Source organism: Homo sapiens, chromosome 9, assembly GCF_000001405.40.
Source record: "Homo sapiens chromosome 9, GRCh38.p14 Primary Assembly".
NCBI classification, from domain to species: Eukaryota; Metazoa; Chordata; class Mammalia; order Primates; family Hominidae; genus Homo; species Homo sapiens.
In genome coordinates, this window is record NC_000009.12 from 80,442,284 (window position 1) to 80,451,946 (window position 9,663).

Consider the following 9,663-nt stretch of genomic DNA (forward strand, 5'->3'; position numbering starts at 1 on the left):
CCTCCTCTAAGCCACGACACTCAACCTTAGGTCCACATTTAAGTAAAAATGATAAAAAATCAATGTAGGAAAATAACAAAGCATTTCAGAAAAACAAACAAAAGACAAGCTTTTAATCCTAATGGCCAAATGTGAAACAGAGTTGGAACAGGGAGACGTCTGGTGGGATCGGGCTAATGTAAAGAGGGTTGGGACCTAGGTGAGCCCCTCTTGCTCCAGTCCTGGTAGCAGCATTGACTAGAGTGGCCGTTCAGTGCTCCCCAACTCTGCAGTGGGACCCACTGAAGAAGCAACAGTCGTAGAGGTAGGGCTGCATAGTCTCTGTGAATACTGAATACTTTGCTGTCAGGAACTCTCAGAGGTCTCTGCAGTGAAACTAGGGATTTGTCAACATATGTGAACGTTTAGTTTACTGTCAAGGGGTGAAATGTTTATTAATAATTTTTTATTATTATTGTAATTCTGGTGCATAGATTGACATTACCCCTCAATTATATGAAGCCACCACCATCGATCTACATAAACCTATCTTCATAAAAAATTTTATTATTCCAATTCATTTCTCAAACTTTTCGTGTTCTTTTTGTTTTGCATCTACTCTGCCCTTCCTATATATAACTCAAATGTATTTACTAGAGCAGCTGCATATACATATAGCTTTGAAAAAATACATAGTGTTTTTTGTGTGTATCAATTGATCACATTTTATGTTAGGTATAATTGTATTATTTTTCATACTCAACCACTTTTTGCTCTATATCATACCATAACCTTTAATCCTCACGCAGTATTCTTTCCTAGACATCTTCCCTAGAGATGAACAATCTGGTCATTTCCAAGTTATTGAAACCAGATTCCTTTATGGACCTATATGAGAGCCTCCCCATTATTCTAGTAATTTATTGGAATTTCATTGAATTTATAGATTAGTTTGGAGATAATTGACAGTTTTCCAATGTTAAGTTTCTTGTCTGTGAACTAGAGCTGGTAATCAATTTGATTTTCTTTCTATGCCCTTTAGTGGGGTTTCTGGGTAATATGCAGTTTATAGAATTTTCATAAATGTATTCAATGTTATAAGCTTCCTTTCAAGAAATGCTTTGACTACCCCCATACGAAAGATGATTTCTCTTTTAAGGCAAGAGCTATTTAATATACATTTTAGTTTCTATATACATAGATTTTTTTATAGTTGTATTTTTGTTGTCAATTTACAATTACATAGTAGTGTAGAAAAAAACAGAGTCTCTACAATGCTGAATCTTTGGAGTGTTTTCTTTCATACTTTCTCTGAGAATTATTCTGTTAATGACTTTGTGAAGGTAGGTGCTAGAAAATAATGTGTATTTTCTCTGAGGTGTAAGGAAATTATCTCTCACTGAGATTGTATATTTGGGTAACTATTAAATATAAATTTCATTATAAAACTTTTCTGTTGATGTCTTATAAATTTTTTGTTAATTTTTCTGCTTTCATCTCTATTTTGCCAATGTAAAATTCCACTCTTGTTTTACATGAGCTTGTTATTTCCAGTACATATTTTTCATCCTCTATTTTCAATCTTTCTGCATTTCCTTGATTTAAATTTTTCTCCTGTAGGCAAATTATTCCTCAATATTTTTATCTAATGTATGGGCCTTCTTTATTGATGAGTTAAATTAATATAGATTTATTGTCACTACTTTTATATTAGAGCTTATTTCTCCTATCTTATGTATCTTTTTTAATATCAATTTTTATTTCTACTCATTTTCTATTTGCTTGCACTGAATGCTATTTTGCTGGTCTAACAACTGTGTTACATTTATATTCTGTCATTAATTATGCCTCTAATAATAGGACTCATGTTATGTTTACTTCCTTCTCTCAGTTTTTAAAACTTATTAAAATATATGCCTTTCTTTAAAATTAGAGACTGCCTTGGTCTGTTTTGGTCTCACTCTAGTCTTTCCCTCTCATGTGGAGTTTTAGTTTTGAACTTTTGTGGATGTGCTATTTTACATAACTTTTAGTCATTGCTTATTTATATAATCATATATTTACTATTTTTTTCCCAATGAAACATTCTATAAAGAAGTAACCTCAAAGATTTATGCCACCTTTTGTGGGTGCAGTTCTTCCGAAAGTGCTTTAAAGAGGAAAGTTGTTATTTCAAAATAATTTTATTATTCATAATCATACAAATATATATTTGATGATATATTTATTTCACTTTTCCTTTAACTAATAGTGTAATTGGGAATGTAATTGTGGGCTTAAAGTTCTTTTTTTTTTAAATTGCCAGATGTTTGCAAATATTATTTCATGCCTTTTTCCATCTACGATGTGCTTTTTGTATGTAAAATGTTTATCCTTCCTGGATATAGAGTTTTCTACTTGTATTTGATATTTTTAAAATTTTACTGAACTATGTTTACCTGTGTGTTTGTGTATGTGTTTTAACTTGTCCTATTGGCACTTATAAACTCTTTTTAATCGAGATCTTACAACTTTCTTTAATTCTGAAAAATTCTCTGCCATTATTTTACATTTTAAGATGTTTTTATAAGGAAGTTTTGAAATCTTATTCCCTTCTTCCACTTCTTCTGGGAGGTCATTTAAATCGGTATAACAATAGCTATTTCATCTCTATTTATCTTTTTCTTTCTCATTCATTTCTTCTATCTCTTTCCCATGTGTTTGGAATAATTTTTTTTTCCTACGATTTGTTACTAAATAGTGCATTTTCTAATTGGAAACATTCTTCTATTCTGTACCTCAACTGACTTTGTTATTTCAACAATTACATATATTTTTCATATTCAGCAGTTCCAGTTGATTCTTTTCTTTAAAACATATAACTTCTTTTTTTTTTGGTTTATATTTTCAATAACTTCTCTCATCTCTGTAAAAGTTATTGGTGATTGTCACCTCTCATCTGGCTTGTTTCCATCTGGACTCCTGGTTTCTATCTATTTCTCCTACAGCCTATGTATTAGTCAGGGTTCTCCAGAGGGACAGAACTAATAGGATATGTGTATATATGAAAGAGAGTTTATTAGGCAGAATTGGCTCACACAATCTCAAGGCAAAGTCCCATGATAGGCCTTCTGCAAGCTGGGGAAGAAAGAAGCCAATAGTGGGTCAGTCCAAGCCCAAAAGCCTCGAAAGCAGGGAAGCCAACAGTGTAGCCTTCAGTCTGTGGCTGAAGGCCCAACAGCCCTGTCAAAACACTGATGTAAGTCCAAGAGTCCAAAGGCCAAAGAACCTGGAGTCTGATATCCAAGGGCATGAAGAATGGAAGGAAGCATCCAGCATCAGAGAATGATTAAAGCCAGAAGATTCAGCAAGCCAGCTTAGCCCACACTCTTCCACCTGCTTTGTTCTAGCAGCCCACCCAGATTGAGTGTAGGTCTTCCTCTCTCAGTCCACTGACTCAAATGTCAGTCTCCTCTGGCAACACCCTCACAGACACACCCAAGCCTCATACTTTACCAGCTATCTAGACATCCTTCCATCTAATCAAGCTGACACCTAATATTAACCATCACAGTAATTACGTTTAAATTACATTATGAGTCTACCTCATTCACTAGTTCTGTTTTTTTTTTTTTCTGGTGTAGACTCTTCAGCTTATTTTTCTTTCATAATGATTGAATTTCTTTGATGTTTCATTATACAAATATATCACACACACAGAGGCTCATATGCCATTGGGAATTTTAGTTATCAGGTATTTTTATTTTGTTTTCATTATCAGTTATCATCAGTTATAATTACCGTGGCCTCTGCTATTTATTTGGGGCCAGGCAAAAACCCAATACTTTACCAGCTATCTAGACGTCCTTCCATTCAATCAAGTTGACACCTAATATTAACCATCGCAGTAATTATTATGTTTAAGTTACATTATTAGTCTACCTCATTCATTAGTTCTGTTTTTTTTCTGGTATAGATGCTTTAGCTTATTTTTCTTTCATAATGATTGAATTTCATTGATGGTTCGTTATACAAATATATCACACACACAGAGGCTCATATACCATTGGGAATTTCACTTATCATATATTTTTATTTTTTATTCATTATCAATTATCAGTTATAATTATCCTGGCCTCTGCTGTTTATTTGGGGCCAGGCAAAAACCCAGGATTCTCACATACTCTTGCAGGTAACTTTAGGGAGCAGATTGGAGGCGCAGTACAGTAGGTGTAGTTTATGGTATTGCAATCCTGGCTGGTCACTTTATCCTGCTCCATTTACCCACTATTCCTACTCTGTAACCTAACCTGGAGATATTTTCCTCCAGGAAATGGAGTTTATGAAATGGGATTTGCATATCCAGGGCACCAAAAGCCTGCTTTTTATATATGTATTATTATTATTTTTAATCTGAGCTACTCTTTAGACATCTCCTAATCTTACTATTTTGTTATCAGCTGATTCTGGATGGCTTTGTTGTTTCTTGACCTTCTACATCAACAGGATAGACGATTATTATCCCAAGGTCAATAAAGGAAAAGAAAAGGGCACAGCTAGAATAACTTCTCCCACAAAGTCCCTGCTTATGATGTCTTGCTATTTTTGTTTCTGGGCTGATAATACCATCTACCTAGAGACCCAATCATCTTGTGTCTTTGTGAATGTTTCTACTAGACTTTGTATTTAGTTCTGAAAAAAAATTAAGACTCCCTTTTACCTTTTGTTTCATAACCAAATTTGACTCAGAAATCTTATTTGATATTCAGAGATTTTTAAGATTTTGGGGGCTTTAATGTTTGCATGCTTTCCATCATTATTTTTTCTGGTTTGTCATTTATTTCTTTGTTTATACAAATAGATACTGAAACCCAAGATTATATTAAATCAGGTTATAACAAGATTTTTAAAATAGTTGATATTTTAAAGGTCATTCACGATTAAACTTCTTCCTGTCATGGCAGTAAGAATACTTACAAAGTACAACATGTAACTCGGATGGCTAAAATGAAAATTGTTGATTGGAGGTATTGAAAAGTTGCAGCTGGGATTTGAACAAATAAAGTATTGGTAGGATCCCCAGAAGTAGAAACAGTAGAAAGCCATTGCCAATTCAATGGTCAAAGAGACAAGGGAGGAAAGACATTACTGGAGCTCAGTGAGAATTGGAAACGTGGAGGAGCCAATTCTAGGGGGAAGGAATCCATAGCTCCTTTGCCCTAGATGGAGGGGCCATCTAGGGGGACGCTACAGTCATGGAGGGACAGAGCTTCTACCAGAACATCTCCATGGAATTAGGAAGGGAGTGAGGAAGTAATGCACCTTTATTCTCTCCTCCCACCCTCGTGTCCTGCCAGTGCCAACCCTTGGTTGAACCCAAATAGAAGCCAAAATAGTAAGGAGGTAAGAAGAAGCAGGCCAAAGAGGTAGCTTTCTGGGGAACAGGACAGGTCAGATAAGGTTGACTAATAGACATGAGAAGAGAATAAATTGAGTATTACCAGAATTCTAGCCTTTCTGTGCTTACCTTCTATCTTGGTGTTTTATAATACTCAATTAGACGATTCTGGTAACTTTGTCACAAATGTTCTATTCCCCCTTTTTCCCTGAAAATTTTCATTTATCCTACAGTGCTCCTCACTAACATCCGCGCCTCTGTGAAAATCTTCTTTATCTCATTCCTCTGAGTTTGGTAATTTGCCTACTGTTTGCACATAGCACTTACTATTTACTTTCATTACAACAATTTTCACATTTCATCTTAATTGATTAGTGGCTTTTCATTCTTTTTCTCATCTCTTCCAGAACAGAAATTGTCTTGTCATTCTGTGTCCCTTGGGACTCCTATTATTACTGGCAGATGGTAAGTGCCCAGAAAAAAATTCACAAGTGAATAAAAGGGAGAATGAATGAGTATGAGAGTATCTTCCCCAAGAGAAAAGGAAAGAGTGGGCAAATCGATCACAAGCAAACAAGGAAAGTAGGAGATTGAGGAATTAAGAAATAAATGATGTTATCAGTGAGAACAATATAGAAGGCTTAAAGTCAAAAATAAAATGGAATTAGGCTAAAACTTAAGTGGAAAGATAAAGTCAACAAAACGAAATGAAAAACCAAAAAGCTGAACACATTTTAAAAGGTATGCAATCCAAATAAAATGGAGTTCACAAATATTTTCTGTAATTGGTAACAAAAAAATCTAATTTAGAGATGACTTTTCTTAAGGTGCTGAGAAAATAATTTTAATGTTAATTCACCCTTTTATTCTTTGATTTCAGCAAATTTTGATGATTACATTTTCTAAATCCATGATTAAACTTCTCTGCCATGGCGTAAGTGTACTTACAAAAACCAAAATGTAAAGGGTAAAGTGAGGTTGGCACCATTTTAAAACTCTGTACCCATATTTTGTTTTAGTAGTCAAAGTTTACATTTAAACTTGGTATTTGTTTATAGTTAATAAAAAGAAAAGAACATATGCTGTTATTTAAGTGCTCTGGTGAATAATTTCCCCTTATTTCTAAAGCTATAACTGATATTTGAAGACTGACCCACTCATCTAAAGTTTAGATAACTCAAGGCAGATTTTAGAAGTATTTCTTCACACTCAGGATTATTAAGTATGAAAGGACGTATGTCCATCCAAAATTCGTAGTACTCATTTTGCTAAAATTTATTTTATATAGCCTAGCCAAGACAGTACAACATTTTGCTAATTAGTAATGGCTCATTTAAATAGCCACTGGTTTCTACATATTTCCACACACGAAAAGAAGGAAGGAAGGAAGGAAGGAAGGAAGGAAGGAAGGAAGGAAGGAAGAAAGGAAGGAAGGAAGGAAGGAAGGAAGGAAGGAAAAAGAGAGAGAGAGTTTTAATAGGTTTTATTATTGAGTTATGTTAAGGCCAACAGATCAGGAGATGATTGCCATTGAAAAGATAGTTTGTGGGCTAGGCATGGTGGCTCACACCTATAATCCTTTGGAGGCCAAGGTGGGAAGATTACTTGAGGCCAGGAGTTCAAAACCAGCCAGGGAATCGTAGCAAGATCCCTTTCTCTACAAATAAATAAATGAATTAACTGGGTATGATGCCATATGCCTATAGTTCAAGCTCCTTGGGAGGCTGAGGCAGGAGGATTATTTAAGTTCAGGAGTTTGAGGTTGACATGAGCTATAATCACCCTACTGCACCCCACCCTGGGTGACAGAGTGAGAATCTATCTCTAAAAAACAACAAAAAGATAATGTGTTATACTTACAGATGGAGACACAGGGGCTCACATAGGCCAGCATGCGGTGGGGGAGGTGCAGTCAGGAGGCAAAGGGAGAGGGAAAATCTTGAGCCAAGAGCCTTTATTGTGGTTTCCTCGGGAGAAATTACAGCAGGATCAGGGTCATAGGTGCTGTCTCTAGTTGTCTAGGACCTAGCCCTGGAATGCTAAGGGAAGATGGATAGTGGCTTAGAGTACAGAGTGTAAGCTGTGCATTGGTTGATTTGCATATGAAAGTTGTGCTCGCAGGTGAGTTGTTTACTCTCTCTAGTAACTGGCTAATCCTGGAGTGAGCTGACTTCCTCTAGGGTCAGCAGGGCCTCAGATGTCAAAACATCAAAATATAGATAGACACGGTTAATATAAGAAGGAAAGGAAGGATATTTTATGAATGAATACATGAAGAGCAAATAAATATTTCATATTAGAATTCTGGTGCAAGACTAACAAAAGTGTATATGTTTTTAGTCTAGAAACGTTTAATGAAAATATGGTCAGATAAAAATAATAATAAACAGTATTATATAGAATGTTTTGTCATGGATGACCTCAAATACTATTATATTTGTAATTTAAAATATATGATCCTGTGAGTCATGAATTTATAGAAATTGACTTGCAGAACTTCAATTAATGACCTTGATTATTTTTCTGTAAGAAGAGAGGGAGAGGTTATGTGAGTGCAAGTAAATTAACCTTTCATTCCATACCCTACCAACTTCTTCTCCACTGACAAGTAATCAAGATTGTTTGACAGAAACAGCAAGTTGTTTAGCTTCTCAGCTCTCCTGCCGCTAAAATATGATGTCAGATAATTTGTTCCTGTTTAGGTCTAGCTTGATTACTTCTGGTTCCCTGAGATTTGAATTGATGAAGTTTTACTTTAGTTACATAGCAGTGTTAATAAATGCTGTCCTGTTTATTAATGAGATGCCAAAACTGTATTGTTATATTTAGAGGACAGAGCCAAGTTCATGTAACTTAAAGTAGTTGAATGTAATAAAAGGTTAATTAGACTTCATGACCTGTTTGGAATATGTCTTGGGTCTCAATACCATTTAACTTTCAATGCAAAATACCAAAATCCAGAATTAATTTATAAGATAACAATTTAATAGTCTGTCATTTAAATAGTAAATGATTCTAACACCTCCTGAAGATATGTAAAACTGAAAGAAATACTGAAAACAAAAACTTAAAAGAGGAAAGCAAAATAAGATTCAGTCAAGGCCAGCCAAAGTGTTATTTCCTTTGATTCAGTGTGAGTATATTACATGAACATTTTATTCACACTGTATACACAGGATGTCAAACAGTCCCCACTGAAGGAAGAATCATTGTGAGAGCTTTCTATAAATTATTCAGATGTATAATATGAAGAATTTAAAATACAATGCAATCATTGGGTAGAGAATATATGCTACAGAAAATTTCTAACTCAACTTTACCTTCTCATTTTCGACTGAGGGTAAGTGAAAAATATTAACTTGAAAGACCACGCAAGAACACTATTCAATGGCTAATAAAAATTTTTATAGGTGAAAATAAAACTGCACAAAGTTCTAGCCATATTGAAATCACAAAATAAAATTATCTGAATTGTCTAAAAATTCATCTAATGAAAATTTCACTGAGAAATTTAATAATTTTTTTTCATGTTTCAGGCAAACAGAATGCAAAAGAAGTCCATATCTAGAGAAATCCTGGTGGAATTTTTCAAACTTCTATGACAAAAAAAAGTCCGATGAGTTTCTAGATTTTAAAAAGTACTAAATTACTTTTTAAAAAATCAACTTTACAAACAACATGAAAACAGAATGTTTAAGAGGAAAAATTATGTGTAGCTTATAATAATAATTATATCCCAGTTTTCCTTACTTTACTGGAGTACAGAGAAATGACTTTTTAAAAAGGTATACAAGTTTTATTAAATAAAAGTCAATGTGAGCTTCTTAATATTACCATTCTGACTTAACAACAATTGTATTTATAAGAAATATGTATTTAGCTACTAAAGTATAATAGCAAAAACTAAAATATGCTTTGAATAAGAGATTTCTCTCTCCTGTGTTATATAATACTCTCCTTTTACTGAAATTTCCTCTATATAGCATAGATCGTTGAGTATCATATGAATATTACCTTGAGTAAGTTTCGGTAGTTTTGTCTTTAAAAATATGTCCATTTCATATAGGTTGTTTAATTTATGGGCTTAGAGTTGTTCACAGCATCCCTTTGTTCTTTAAATGTCAGTACAGTCTGTAGTGATGTTTCTTTATTAGTTCTTATTGTTTGTAATTTGCATTTTCTCTTTTTTTTGGTCATTCTAACTAGAAATTTATTAATTTTATTGAAATTTCTAAACAATCAGCCTTTGGGTAAATTAGTTTTCTTTTTCTTCTGTTCTAAATTTCATTGATTTCTGCTCTCATTTT

At 33.9% G+C, this 9,663-nt stretch overlaps 1 long non-coding RNA gene across 1 annotated transcript in view; it reads left to right on the top strand.

The window, feature by feature from the left end:
• Positions 1-9,189, top strand: part of LOC105376103 (uncharacterized) — a 96,161-nt gene extending 86,972 nt beyond the window's left edge. Inside the window, exons 2-3 of the long non-coding RNA XR_929989.3 lie at positions 5,764-5,821; positions 8,893-9,189. This is a non-coding gene — a long non-coding RNA (uncharacterized LOC105376103). The remainder of the gene's footprint in view (positions 1-5,763; positions 5,822-8,892) is intronic.
• The last annotated feature ends 474 nt before the right edge of the window (positions 9,190-9,663 follow it).